Below are 15,426 nucleotides of genomic sequence, written 5' to 3'. Positions count from 1 at the left end.
TCTTTTTTTTTTACTTTGCACATGATGCAACTTCTTAAACACACACTCCCTTCATACACTTGGAGCTCTCTGTGTTTGTGTGACAGTAAAGGCATGGGGTTCCTTGTGAATATCCCTCGAGGTTTATATTTGGTTCTGCTAGCTTGGGTGACTTTTAGTCCTTCCCCTGCTATTGCTTTTTACTAAAATTGGCTCTTTTCCAAGACAGACACTGATTGGGACTCCAGCTTTGCCAGCTTCTCATAACTCATCATGTTCTTTTCATTCCTGTATGCCTCAAGGATAAGTTTTTCAATGGCTTTTAAAGGTAGCTTGTCCTCTTGCATAGGTCTTTACTCTGGTTTTTTAAGGACTCCACCAAATTTGCTTTTTAAGCTAGCATTGCTTTGAAAGGAGGAGAAATTCTTACCCCAATACCCTAGTCCTCTAGCAGTTACTTTATATCCAGCCCTCTTGAATCCAAGGGCTGCTGGTTTTTTGAGCATATGAAGGCTTTCCATGAGCCATGAGGAATCTTTTATTTCCTTCCACTTTCTACTATAGACTTCATTTTTCTAATTATGTTCATGTTCCTCTTAACATACATCAAGTCCTTTTAAGTCATAGTCTAAAAATGGGAATTTCAGCCCTTCTGGCAGTTAACTGAAAAATAAACTTCTAAGAAAAAGAGATTATCATTTTATTACAGAAATACCTTAAGTGAGAATCACTATAAGGTCTTGAAGAGAAGAATATATGCTTTCCCAAGGCTGCAGAGGAAAGTGACCAATGAGACAGAGATAGGGGCTGTTCCCCGGCTAACACACTCCCATTGAAATACAGATGAAAGGTTTGGGAGTACACAGTAAAGATCAGCTAAGGACAGAATCCCAAAGATGAACAAGATTTCCACTGTCCACCCAAATATCTACTCTGTTCTCAAATAGGTAATTATGGTTAGATGAGGCCAGTTATGTCCAGAGCTTCAAGGATGGACAAGGGCCCTTCTGTTGACTAAAGTATCTCCTGTGTTCCCAAGATGGGTAATTGCAATGAGATTGGAACAAACATAAAGACTTCTTAAGTCTGGAACCCAGGACAAAGGGTATATAGGAAAAACTCATTTAGAACCCACCAAGAAGGGTACATGGTAAAGATTGGTTAAGTCTTGAACCCAGGACAATGGGAAATGTCTCGTACAGAATGATGGTGAAAAAAAGAAATGCCTTCTAATATGGTTCGACTTTGTGTGCCCACCCAGATCTCATCTTATAGCTCCCATAATTCCCATGCGCTGTGAAAGGTTCCCAGTGGGAGAAGATTAAGTCATGGGAGTGGGTCTTTTCAATGCTGTTCTCATGACAGTTAATGGGTCTCATGAGATCTGATGGTTTTTTTAAAAACAGGACTTTCCCTGTACAAGCTCTTTTTGCCTCCTGCTATCTGAGTCAGCCATAATTTGCTCCTCCTTGCATAATTTTGAGGCTTCCTCTGCCACAGAGAACTGTAAGTCCAATTAAATCTGAAAATGTAAAAGCAGTTTTGGAACTGGGTAACAAGCAAACACTGCAAGAGTTTGGAGGGCTCAGAAGAAGACAGGAAAATATGGGAAAGTTTGGGACTTTCCAGAGACTTGTTGAATGGCTTTGCCCAAAATGCTGATAACAATAGGGACAGTAAGGTCCAAGCTGAGGTGATCTGAGATGGAAATGAGAAACTTGTTGGGAACCAGAGCGAAGGTGATCCTTGTTATGTATGAGCAAAGAGACTAGCAACATTTTGCCCCTGCTATATAGATTTGTGGTATTTTGAACTTGAGAAAGAAGATTTAGGGTACCTGGCAAAAGAAATTTCTAAGTAGTGAAGCTTGTGGCATGTGACTTGGGTGCTAGTAAAAGCATTCAGTTTTATAAGGTAAGAACAGCATAAAAGTTTGAAGAATTTGTAACCTGACAATGCAATAGAAAAGTCAGTCCCATTTTCTGAGAAGAAATTCAAGCTAGATGCAAAAATTTCCATGAGTAACAATAAGTCAAATATTAATCTGCAAGACAGTGGAAAGAATGTCTCTAGGGCACATCAGAGATTTTCACAGAAGCCCGTCCCATCACAGGCCTCAATGCCCAGGAGTGAAAAATGATTTCATGGGCCCGATCCAGGGTTCCTGTGCTGTGTGCAGCCTAGGGACTTGGTGTTCTGCATTTCAGCCACTCAAGTCATGGCAGAAAGGAGCCAGGGTAGAGCTCAGACCATGGCTTCAGAGGGTGCAAGCTCTGAGCCTTGGCACCTTTCATGTGACGCTGAGCCTGAGTAAACAGAAGTCAAGGTTTGGGGTATGGAAGCCTCCATCCTCAGAGGATGTATGGAAATGCCTGGATGTCCAGGAGGATGTTTGCTGCAGGGACAGGGCCCTCATGAAGAACATCTGCTAGGGCAGTTCAAAAGGGAAATGTTGGGGTTGGAGTCTCCACACAGAGTCCCTACTGGGGCACCACCTAGTGGAGCTGTAAGAAGATGGCCACCATCCTCCAGAACCTAGAATGGTAGATCCACTGACAGTTGGCACTGTGCACCTGGAAAAGCTGTATACACTCAATGCCAGCCCATCAAAGCTGCTGAGAAGGAGGCTGTACCCTACAATGCCACAGGCACAAAGCTCTCTAAGACCATGGGAACCCACCTCTTGCATCAGTGTGACCCGGATGTGAGACATGGAGTCAAAGGGGAATTATTTTGGAGCTTTAAGATTTGACTTCCTCATTGGATTTTGGACAAGCACGGGGCCTGTAGACCATTTATTCTGGCCAATTTATCCCATTTGGAATGGCTGTGTTTATTAATGCCTGTATGCCTATTGCATTCAGGAAGTGACTCACTTGCTTTTGATTTTACAAGCTCATAGAGCTCATAGGTGGAAAGCACTTGCCTTGTACTGAATGAGACTTTGGACTGTGGACTTTTGAGTTAATGCTCAAATGAGTTAAGACCTTGGAGGACTCTTGGGAAGCCAGAATTAGTTTTGAATTGTGAAGATATAAGATTTGTGATGGGCCAGTGGTGGAATTATATTGATTGGCTCTGTGTTCCCACCCAAATCTCGTATTGTAGCTCTCATAATTCCCATGTGTTGTGGGAAGGACCTGGTGGGAGATAGTTGAATAATTGGAGTGGGTCTTCCCATGCTATTCTCATGATAGTGAATGGGTCTCACAAGATCTGATGGTTTTTAAAAAATGGGAGTTTCCTTAAATAAGTTATTTTTTGCCTGCTACCATCCATTTAAGATGTGACTTGCCCCTCTTTGCCTTCTGTCATTATTATGAGGCTTCCCCAGACACATAGAACTGTAAATGCAATTAAACCTTTTTTTTTTTTGTAAATTGTAAATTTACAAAAAAATGTGTTGTGATTTTTTTTGTAAATTTCCCACTCTCAGGTATATCTTTATCAGCAGCAGGAAAGCGTCTTCTTTTTTATTTTTCCTTTTCTTTTTTGTCTACTCTATTCTGTCTTTGAAGATGAGTAAACACATCTCTGGACCTCAAGACACTCCCCTTGAATGCATCACCTAAAGCTAGGAAAATTTAGTTTTCCTGAACCTTATAAAAACTAGTTTTTCTTTGTCACACTGCTGGACTTACAAATGTCATGGGAGGAAATTACAAAAGCCAGCCTGGAACTCAGTGCCTCAGTGTAGGAAGTCTTCAGATTAGCCTCTTTAATCTCTGATAACTGAGAGTAGAATGAGGAGGACAGGGTTAAGCCTGTTGGGTAAAGCAAATGAGATCCTCACCTTCCAAAAGAAAGAACTCACATCCCTTTATGTTACTTAAGGGATCAATTATCATACTTCTACTAGTCCCTGGTAATGTCTAAATAGCCCATTTGTTTCAGGGGCAAAAATATACTCTCTAAGATTGGGGCTTATTTAATATTTACTGGACCTCTGAGTTCATCTTTCTTTCTATTTGTCCTAGTTCTCCTGGGGAAGCAACCTACAATTTTAACCAGTATCTTCAACCTAGGCAGTCCTACCTCTAGTCTCTAGAAATAGCACACACTTATTCAGACAATACTTAGCAAAAATCTAACTGAGCAATCTCTTGAGGAGGGATAAGTTCTAACAGTATGTACATAACCTCTTTATTTGCTGCCATTCACAAGACTTCAGGGCTGCTAGAGCTCTGAGAAAGAGAAACCAGAAGCCTGGCTAGCTGGCAAAAGGATAGAAATTCTTACTAGTAAGATTCATGGCTTTCCTCTATATGTAAACTGGTAGTACAAATACTGTATTCACTCCATGAACAGTGTTTTACTTGCTATCTTGAACTTTCTTTTTTTTTTTTGAGCTACATTTGTAAATTCTAAATCTTAAAAAAACTGCTTATTGCCTCCAAAAATACCTTATATACTTGTGGTTAAGTCATAACCTCAGTAAAGGCTTATTGGTTTTGCCTGCGAGATTACTTTTTATAAAGTTTAAAATACAAAAGTATTGGCCATTTGACTTGGCTAAAATCTGGTAAAAAAGAAAGGACTAGCTTAATTAAAAGTGGATAACTAAGCTATACCTATATTAGAGCTGAAATGTTCAGAAATATCAAGAACAAGCGTTAACTAAATGTTGCTGATGGTTTTTTTTCAGAGAGTCAAAAAAACTTTTGAGCCATTTACAGCTTTTAACAATTATGTGAAGTTTGCTCCCTTGAAAAAAATTTTGAACACATTTTTTTCTCTTTCTACCTCATTTCTTCAGGATTTGGAAACTATTTGTGAGTATTCATATGGCAATATAGTCATTTTGCATAAGTGCAATAATTTTTTTTTTACAACAAAACACAGCTGGGGAAACTGGTTGTTTTACCAAGGCTTTGACTGGAATACCATGCTTTTCTTTAAGGAATCAAGCTTGACTTATATAGCCAATAATAGATGGTCGGAAAAACTGGCCTCATATTTTGTCTACACAGTCCTTGTACAGGGATCCTAACCTGCAGTGAGCTAAAAAAAAAAAAAAAAAAAAAAAAGTCAGTTTCTAACAGATTCAGTGGCCCCAAGATTTCCTGGGACCACAGGAGAAGAGAAATCTACCCAACTCATAGGTATTTAGGGATAAATGTGAAAATGGTTTTCTTGCTGCACTTTATGCAATTAATTACATTAAGCATAATAAGACTAAAGCTTATTTTGCAAACAAACCAGTAACATTATTATTTCTTTCGTTCTAACAAAAATGAGAATTAAACAAAAAAGTTTGTTTCCAAAGTTAAATATACCTACTAGTAGACTCTACTAGTAGATTCTAGATTCAGCAATTATTTATGAGATTTGTCTTCATTTTAGACTAGCCCTGCTTATTCCTGTGAATGAACCACCAATCTGTGTCTTCAGGTCAGGAGAAAGAAAAAGGTAGGAAATGTAAGTACTGGATCTATATTCTAGTTCTTAGAACATATTGGAAAAGCTGACACTGGGCCCTAACACTTCTATTTCTGACATAATTAAAATAACATCCTTGGTCTTTTGTAACTAGGGACCAGGAAGAGAAGAAAAGGGCTTAGTAAAAGGAGTGAATGCCTCAACATATTCATGTTGTGAGCGGCTTAACCAATTATATGCAAGCAAAGATGACTTCAAATATCAGCCCCTAAATAATCTGGATGCAATTTGGTTTTCAGATAGCAATAGCTCTGTCAGAAATGAAACTAAATATTCAAGGTACCCTGCAGGGTACCCTGGGGACCTCAGTGCAACTAGCTCAACTCACTGCACTGACAAGAGCCCCAAAACTTGGTTAAAGAAGGAAAAGAACAATTTCTGCAGATTCCAAATATGCCCTTATGATGGTTCATACCACACAGCTATCTGGAAGTAAAGTGCATATCTAACAGCTCGAGATATGCCTATTAAACATATAATTCAAATCTTAGAACTACTGGAGCCTGTTCACCTGCCCCACGAAGTGGCAGTAGTGCACTGTAAAGGACACTAAAAAGACTCTGATAAAACTGAAAGGGAATATAGGCTAGCTAAATAACAAGCTAAAGAGGCAGCCATCTCAAAAACATACCTTAATGAGGGCTTCATTTCTTTCTCTCCCCAGTGAACTGCCCCCTCTCCAATACTCTAATAAACAAATAGGCTGGGGAACTCAACATGAGTATAAAAAATAGTGCATGGTATAGGCTAAGAGAACTTCATCTATCTAAAGCTTCTTAATGGAAAGTTATCAAGGGCTTACATGACTCTTGCTACCTTAGAAAGGATAGTCTAGCACAGATTTGTAAATTAATATTCAGTGAGAAAGGATTAAATGAAACTATCCTACTGTCTTGTCAAGCCTGTGCCCTGTGTGACATAAAATAATTCCCATAGAGGGAACACCCCTTCATTGATATATCCAATTTAAAGGAGAAGTACATATCCTGTGGAGGACTGGCAGATTACTCCACTCAGAGCCCTGCAGCTTCAGTTATAAGTAGCTCCTGGTCTGTGTAGACACCTTTTAGAATGGGTAGAAGACTACCCCCACAAAGTGGAGAAGGGATAGAAAGTAACAAATTTCCTCTTAAAGGAACTTACTTTCTGGTTTAGGTTCCCCAGGTCATTTTAAATTGAAAATAATCCATCTTCTATTTCCCAAATAACTTTACAGGCCATTAGTGCCTTAGGCATAAGGTGGTACCTTCATTCTGCCTGAGGAACACAATATTTAAGAAAAGTTGAAAGAACAAATGAAAACCCTCAAATGCATCCTCAATAAGCTCCTTCAGGAAACAGTGTAACTATGGGTGGGCCTCTTACCTTTGGTTCTCCTTTGAATCCGCATTACTTCTGAGCCTCTTCTACAATTAAGCCCCTTTTAGGTTATATAAGATAGGCCATTTTTATGTTAAGACCTATTACTGGATGAAAAAACTGCCACAATCACCCACATCTCTTCCTTATCAGGCTTCCAACAGGTCTTCAGGGAATATAGGTTACAAACAAACCCTAAATTGAAGGGAGAAAGATCCCCACCTCTGTATTCTTCAAGCTCATTGGTTCTTATTAAAGCTTTGGAAGGTGAATCCTCAAATTTCCAGCTAAATCCTGTCTCAGAGAGTCTCCTCAGTGTTTTATTATCTATTCCCACAGCCATTAAAATACCAGAAAATGGTGCCTGCTAAACACATCACACCTGAGTGAAGCTGTGGAAAGGATTAAACAAAACTATCCTACTGTCTTGTCAAGCCTGTGCCCTGTCTGACATAAAATAATTCCCACAGAGGGAAGTCCCCTTCATTGATATATCCAATTTGAAGGAGAAGTACATACCCTGGGGAGGACTGGCAGATGACTCCACTCAGGCCTGAGACAACAGACCTGGAAGCAATGCTCTCACCTCCAGAATACATGTGTGAATTGCTGGAAGATCAAAGGTTCCTCTTTAAGCAGAAATATAAGTAATGTTTTTTCACCTTAAAGTAAGGAAATTTAATGTTAGAAATGTTCCTCTGATTGCTTTCACTGTTTTAACTCTTATTTGTATACCACCAGGAGTTCCAGTGGCATTTCCCTTTATGAGCAATCTCTCACTCAAAATTACTATGGGTCGCCATAGTCCTGCTGCTGCTGGTTTTTATACTCACTCCCTTACTGGTAGTATAAAATCATCCTGATTTCCCATTATTGGAAAAAGTTTAGCAAATGCTCCATAGCACAGGATCCCTTTACCTCAACAATTGGTGGCTATGTACTAGCTCTTCCACTACAAGGACAGAAATTGCTTAACCACCTTAACCGAGAGACTGCACAATCACAGATGCAGAATTACAAACTGCCTAACAATGGGAACCTAATCTAAGAGGAATGTTCAAGGCTGGGAATAGCCTCCTTGAAAGAGTAAAGGGAGATTTGTCTGACAACTACAGGAAACCTTTAATTTTTGGACATATTTTTTCTAATTTTTTTTAAATTATACTTTAACTTTTAGTGTACATGTGCACAACGTGCAGGTTTGTTACATATATATACATGAGGCATGTTGGTGTGCTGCACCCATTAACTCATCATTTAACATTAGGTATATCTCTTAATGCTATCCCTCCCCCCTCCCCCCACCCCACAACAAGGTCTGGTGTTTGATGTTCCCCTTCCTGTATCCATGTGTTCTCATTGTTCAATTCCCACCTATGAGTGAGAATATGCAGTGTTGGTTTTTTTGGTCCTCGCAATAGTTTGCTGAGAATGATGGTTTCCAGCTTCATCCATGTGCCTACAAAGCACATGAACTCATCATTTTTTATGGCTTCATAGTATTCCATGTTGTATATGTGCCACATTTTCTTAATCCAGTCTATCATTGTTGGACTTTTGGGTTGTTTCCAAGTCTTTGCTACTGTGAATAGTGCCACAATAAACATACGTGTGCATATGCCTTTATAGCAGCAAGATTTATAATCCTTTGGGTATATACACACTAATGGGATGGCTGGGTCAAATGGTATTTCTAGTTCTAGATCCCTGAGGAATTACCACACTGAATTCCACAACGTTGAACTAGTTTACAGTCCCACCAACAGTGTAAAAGTGTTCCTATTTCTCCACATCCTCTCTAGCACCTGTTGTTTCCTGACTTTTTAATGATCACCATTCTAACTGGTGTGAGACGGTATCTCATTGTGGTTTTGATTTGCATTTCTCTGATGGCCAGTGCTGATGAGCACTTTTTCATGTATCTTTTGGTTGCATAAATGTCTGATTTTGAGAAGTGTCTGTTCATATCCTTCACCTACTTTTTGATGGGGTTGTTTTTTTTTTCTTGTAAATTTGTTTGAGTTCATTGTAGATTCTGAATATTAGCCCTTTGTCAGATGAGTAGATTGCAAAAATTTTCTCCCATTCCGTAGGTTGCCTGTTCACTCTGATGGTAGTTTCTTTTCCTGCTCAGAGGCTCTTTAGTTTAATGAGATCCCATTTGTCAATTTTGGCTTTTGTTGCCATTGCTTTTGGTGTTTTAGAAATGAAGTCCTTGCCGACGCCTAAGTCCTGAATGGTATTGCCTAGGATTTTTTCTAGGGTTTTTATGGTTTTAGGTCTAACATGTAAGTCTTTAATCCATCTCAAATTAATTTTTGTATAAGGTGTAAGGAAGGGATCCAGTAGTTCCCAGCACCATTTATTAAATAGGTATTCCTTTTCCCATTTCTTGTTTTTGTCAGATTTGTCAAAGATTAGATAGTTGTAGATATGTGGCATTATTTATGAGGGCTCTGTTCTGTTCCATTGGTCTATATCTCTGTTTTGGTAGCAGTACCATGCTGTTTTGGTTACTATAGCCTTGCATTATAGTTTGAAGTCAAGTAGCGTGATGTCTCCAGCTTTGTTCTTTTGGCTTAGGATTGACTTGGCGTTGTGGGATCTTTTTTGGTTCCATATGAACTTTAAAGTAGTTTTTCCAATTCTGTGAAGAAAGTCATTGGTAGCTTGATGGGGATGGCATTGAATCTATAAATTACCTTGGGCAGTATGGCCATTTTCATGATATTGATTCTTCCTACCCATGAGCATGGAATTTTCTTCCATTTGTTTGTATCCTCTTTTATTTCATTGAGCTGGTTTGTAGTTCTCCTTGAAGAGGTCCTTCACATCCCTTGTAAGTTGGATTCCTAGTTATTTTATTCTCTTTGAAGCAATTGTGAATGGACGTTCACTCATGATTTGGCTCTCTGTTTGTCTGTTATTGGTGTATAAGAATGCTTGTGATTTTTGCACATTGATATTGTATCCTGAGACTTTGCTGAAGTTGCCTATCAGCTTAAGGAGACTTTGGGCTGAGATGATGGGGTTTCCTAGATATACAATCATATCATCTGCAAACAGGGACAATTTGACTTCTTCTTTTCCTAAGTAAATACACTTTATTTCCTTCTCCTGCCTAATTGCCCTGGCCAGAACTTCCAACAATATGTTGAATAGGAGTGGTGAGAGAGGGCATCCCTGTCTTGTGCTAGTTTTCAAAGGGAATACTTCCAGTTATTTGCCCATTCAGTATGATATTGGCTGTGGGTTTGTCATAGATAGCTCTTATTATTTTGAAATAAGTCCCATCAATACCTAATTTATTGAGAGTTTTTAGTATGAAGGGTTGTTGAATTTTGTCAAAGGCCTTTTCTGCCTCTATTGAGATAATCATGTGGTTTTTGCCTTTGGCTCTGTTTACATGCTGGATTACATTTATTGATTTGCGTATATTGAACCAGCCTTGCATCCCAGGGATGAAGCCTATTTGATCATGGTGGATAAGCTTTCTGATGTGCTACTGGATTTGGTTTGCTGATATTTTATTAAGGATTTTTGCATTGATGTTCATCAGGGATATTGGTCTAAAATTCTCTTTTTTTGTTGTGTCTCTGCCAGGCTTTGGTTTCAGGATGATGCTGTCCTCATACAGTGAGTTAGGGAGGATTCCCTCTTTTTCTATTGATTGGAGGAGTTTCAGAAGGTAAGGTACCAACTCCTCCTCACACCTCTGGTAGAATTCGGCTGTGAATTCATCTTGTCCTGGACTTTTTTTGGTTGGTAGGCTATTAATTATTGCCTCAATTTCATAGTCTGTCATTGGTCTATTCAGAGATTCAACTTCTTCCTGGTTTAGTCTTGGGAGGGCATTTGTGTCAAGGAATTTATCCATTTTTTCTAGATTTTCTAGTTTTTTGCATAGAGGTGTTTACAGTATTCTCTGTTGGTAGTTTGTATTTCTGTGGGATCAGTGGTGATATCCTCTTTATCATTTTTTGTTTTGTCTATTTGATTCTTCTCTCTTTTATTCTTTATTAGTCTTGCTAGCAGTCTGTCAATTTTGTTGATCTTTTCAAAAAACCAGCTCCTGGACTCAATGATTTTTTGAAGGGTTTTTGTGTCTCTATTTCCTTCAGTTCTGCTCTGATCTTAGTTATTTCTTGCTTTCTGTGAGCTTTTGAATGTGTTTGCTCTTGCTTCTCTAATTATTTTCATTGTGATGTTAGGATATCAAGTTTCAATATTTATTGCTTTCTCTTGTGGGCAAATAGTGCTATAAATTTCCCTCTACACACTGCTTTAAATGTGCCCCAGAGATTCTGTTATGTTGTGTCTTTGTTCTTGTTGGTTTCAAAGAACATCTTTATTTCTGCCTTCATTTTGTTATGTACTCAGTAGTCATTCAGGAGCTTCCATTTAGTTGAGAAGTTTTGAGTGAGTTTCTTAATCCTGAGTTCTAGTTTCATTGCACTGTGGTCTGAGAGACAGTTTGTTATAATTTCTGTTATTTTACGTTTGCTGAGGAGTGCTTTACTTCCAACTATGTGGTCAATTTTGGAATAGGTGTGGTGTGGTGCTGGAAAGAACGTATATTCTGTTGATTTCAGGTGAAGAGCTCTGTAGATGTCTATTAGGTCTGCTTGGTGCAGAGCTGAGTTCAGTTCCTGGATATCCTTTTTAACTTTCTGTCTCGTTGATCTGTCTAATGTTGACAGTGGGCTGTTAAAGTCTCCCATCATTATTGTGTGGGAGTATAAGTCTCGTTATAGTTCTCTGAGGATTTGCTTTATGAATCTGGGTGCTCCTGTATTGGATGCATATATATTTAGGATAGTTAGTTCTTCTCTTTGAATTGATCCATTTACAATTATGTAATGGCCTTCTTTGTCTCTTTTGATCTTTGTTGGTTTAAAGCCTTTTTTTTATCAGAGACTAGGATTGCAACCCCTGCCTTTTTTTTTGTTTTTAATTTGCTTGGAAGATCTTCCTCCATCCCTTTGTTTTAAGCCTATGTGTGTCTCTGCATGTGAGATGGGTTTTCTGAATACAGCACATTGATGGGTCTTGACTCTTTATCCAATTTGCCAATCTGTGTCTTTTAATTGGAGCATTTAGCCCATTAACATTTATGGTTAATATTGTTATGTGTGAATTTGATCCTGTCATTATGATGTTAGCTGGTTATTTTGCTCATTAGTTGACACAGTTTCTTCCTAGCCTGGATGGTCTTTACAATTTGGCATGTTTTTGCAGTGGCTGCTACCGGTTGTTCCTTTCCATGTTTAGTACTTCCTTAAGGAGCTCTTTTAGGGCAGGCCTGGTGGTGACAAAATCTCTCAGCATTTGCTTGTCTGTCCAGGATTTTATTTCTCCTTTGCTTATGAAGCTTAGTTTGGCTGGACATGAAATTCTGATTTGAAAATTCTTTTCTTTAAGAATGTTGAATATTGGCCCCCACTGTCTTCTGGCTTGTAGAGTTTCTACCAACAGATCAGCTGATAGTCTGATGGGCTTCCCTTTGTGAGTAACCGACCTTTTTCTCTGGTTGCCCTTAACATTTTTTCCTTCATTTCAACTTTGGTGAATCTGACAATTATGTATCTTGGAGTTGCTCTTCTCGAGGAGTACCTTTGTGGCATTCTCTGTATTTGAATATTGGCCTGCCTTGCTAGATTGGGGAAGTTCTCCTGGATAATAACCTGCAGAGTGTTTTCCAACTTGGTTCCATTCTCCCTGTCACTTTCAGATACACCAATCAGGTGTAGATTTGGTCTTTTCACATAGTCCCATATTTCTTGGAGGCTTTGTTCATTTCTTTTTATTATTTTTTCTCTAAACTTCTTGCTTCATTTCATTCATTTGATCTTCAATCACTGATACCCTTTCTTCCAGTTGATCAAATTGGCTACTGAAGCTTGTGCATTCATCTCACAGTTCTCGTGCCGTGGTTTTCAGCTCCATCATGTCCTTTAAGGACTTCTCTGCATTGGTTATAGTTAGCCATTCATCTAATTTTTGTTCAAGGTTTTTAACTTCTTTGTCATGGGTTTGGACTTCCTCCTTTAGCTCAGAGTAGTTTGATCATCCGAAGCCTTCTTCTCTCAACTCGTTAAAGTCATTCTCCATCCAGCTTTGTTCCATTCCTGGTGAGGAGCTGCATTCCTTTGGAGGAGGAAGGGCACTCTGATTTTTAGAGTTTCCAGTTTTTCTGCTCTGTTTTTTCCCCCATCTTGGTGGTTTTATCTACCTTTGGTCTTTGATGATGGTGACGTACAGATGGGGTTTTGGTGTGGATGTGCTTTCTGTTTGTTAGTTTTCCTTCTAACAGTGAGGACCCTCAGCTTCAGTTCTGTTGGAATTTGCTGGAGGTCCACTCCAGACCCTGTTTGCCTGGGTATCAGCAGCAGAGGCTGCAGAACAGCGGATACTGGTGAACAGCAAATGTTGCTGCCAAATCATTCTTCTGGAAGTTTTTTCTCAGAGGAGTACCCAGCCATGTGAGGTGTCAGTCTGCCTCTGTGGAGGGGTGCTTCCCAGTTAGGCTACTCAGGGGTCAGGGGCCCACTTGAGGAGGCAGTCTGTCTGTTCTCAGATCTCCAGCTGTGTGCTGGGAGAACCGCTACTCTCTTCAAAGCTGTCAGACAGGGACATTTAAGTCTGCAGAGTTTTCTACTGTCTTTTGTTTGGTTATGCCCTGCCCCCAGATGTGAAGTCTACAGAGGCAAGCAGGCCTCCTTGAGCTGCAGTGGGCTTCACCCAGTTTGAGCTTCCTGGCCTCTTTGTTTACCTACTCAAGCCTCAGCAATGGTGGTCACCATCCCCCCAGCCTCACCGCTGCCTTGCAGTTTGATCTCAGACTGCTGTGCTAGCAATGAGTGAGCATAGGACCCTACAAGCCAGGTGCAGGATATGATCTCCTGGTGTGCCATTTGCTAAGACCATTAAAAAAGTGTAGTATTAGGGTGGGAGTGACCTGATTTTCCTGGTGCTGTTTGTCACCCTTTCTTTGACTAGGAAAGGGAATTCCCTCACCCCTTGAACTGTTTGGGTGAGGTGATGCCTTGGCTTGCTTTGGCTCATGCTCAGTGTGCTGCACCCACCATCCTGCACCTACTGTTCAGTACTCCCCAGTGAGATGAATCCAGTACCTCAGTTGGAAATGCAGAAATCACCCATCTTCTGTGTCACTCATGCTGGGAGCTGTAGAGTGGAGCTGTTCCTATTCAGCCATCTTGGCTCCACCCCTCCAATATTGATTTAATGGTAATAGCCCCTATTTGTGTTACAGCTAAAAAGAAAAATGAAATAAATGTAGGTTGTAATGTTATTTTCACTAACCTACAGACTTATCAATTATATCCTTACAATCATTTCTATCATCAACCAAGATTCCACAATTTTCCAAGCATTACCTTCCCCTAGGAAACTGGTAGATAAGTCCACTGGCTTTGCCTAGGACACCAAATCTCATTCAGTACTCAAAAGTTCCAGATTTCAGCCTGCTGATTATAACCAACATTTGCCAGTAGCTAATCTCAGCACTACAGCAGAATGGCTTTGTTTGGACCATACTCAAGTTATCTTTTTTTTTTCAAAATAACAACCAGGGAGTTAACCAATGCCAAATCACATGTACCCAAGTCTTAGCATGCATAACTATAGCCATCAGTTACCTGGGCATGTTGGCAGCCTCAGTATTTTTGGAGCTGTACTTACCTTCTTACTTTGTTTTGGTCCATAACTTCTGAATCTAATAACCCAGTTATCTTGTCTCACCTTCAGGCCCTCAAGCTCTAGATGATCCTCAGTGAGAGATACTGTACTCATTATTCAAGAGGTACCCTTTGACACAGGACCTCTAAACTGCCCATGACCAGGACAGAAAGGAGGTGAAATCTTGCTCTCATCTCCCTTGGACCCCACAAGATTCTGCTTTTTCCAACACATGGAGTCATCCTCCTGCCCTGATAGGTAACGAGACAAAGACACACAAAACTACCACCATCCCTCTGTCAGAAGAAAGCAGTTATGGACGATTGACCTTCACCTTTTTTCCCCAAAGATTTGAGGTCTTGACTCTTGAGAGTGAAATGTTACAGGTAGATAGGCATGAACAGGGCAAGAGAGAGCTCTCCCCAGCACAACCACTCAGAATGTCAGGTGGTGGTTTGACAATTATCATACTGTCTTTCTAAATGATGATAATTTGGCAACTTACCCAAGGAACCAGGAAGAGGACATTTTGTCATGGTCTGCAGCTAATATCATGAACGTGTTAATTGAATGCAGACGTCAGACAGAAGAAAATTCCTGGGCATGCACACTGAGATAAAATGGCAAAATATGACATTCTGTGTATACTCCATGAGAAAAAGGATAGAAAGCCTCAGTTGGGCAACTGTACAACTTCCTAAGCACACTGTGTGTGCTAAATTCCAAGGGGTAAGAGGGGCAGTGCACATTTGGAAAGCCCACCCTAAGGGAGAAAACATGGGAAAGAGGAGACCCTATAAAGCACTAGCATAAAGGTTAAAGAATCTCTTTAACCTTCACATGACCACTTGAATCTTTCCCAAGCAAATCATTTTTTTTTTCTTTTCCATTCTAAAGTATTTAAAAATAAACTTTAGCTCTGAAAGTTGCCTTGGTGTCTTTCTGCCTTGC

Source organism: Homo sapiens, chromosome Y, assembly GCF_000001405.40.
Source record: "Homo sapiens chromosome Y, GRCh38.p14 Primary Assembly".
NCBI lineage: Eukaryota > Metazoa > Chordata > Mammalia > Primates > Hominidae > Homo > Homo sapiens.
Note: the sequence above shows the minus strand (reverse complement) of the source record.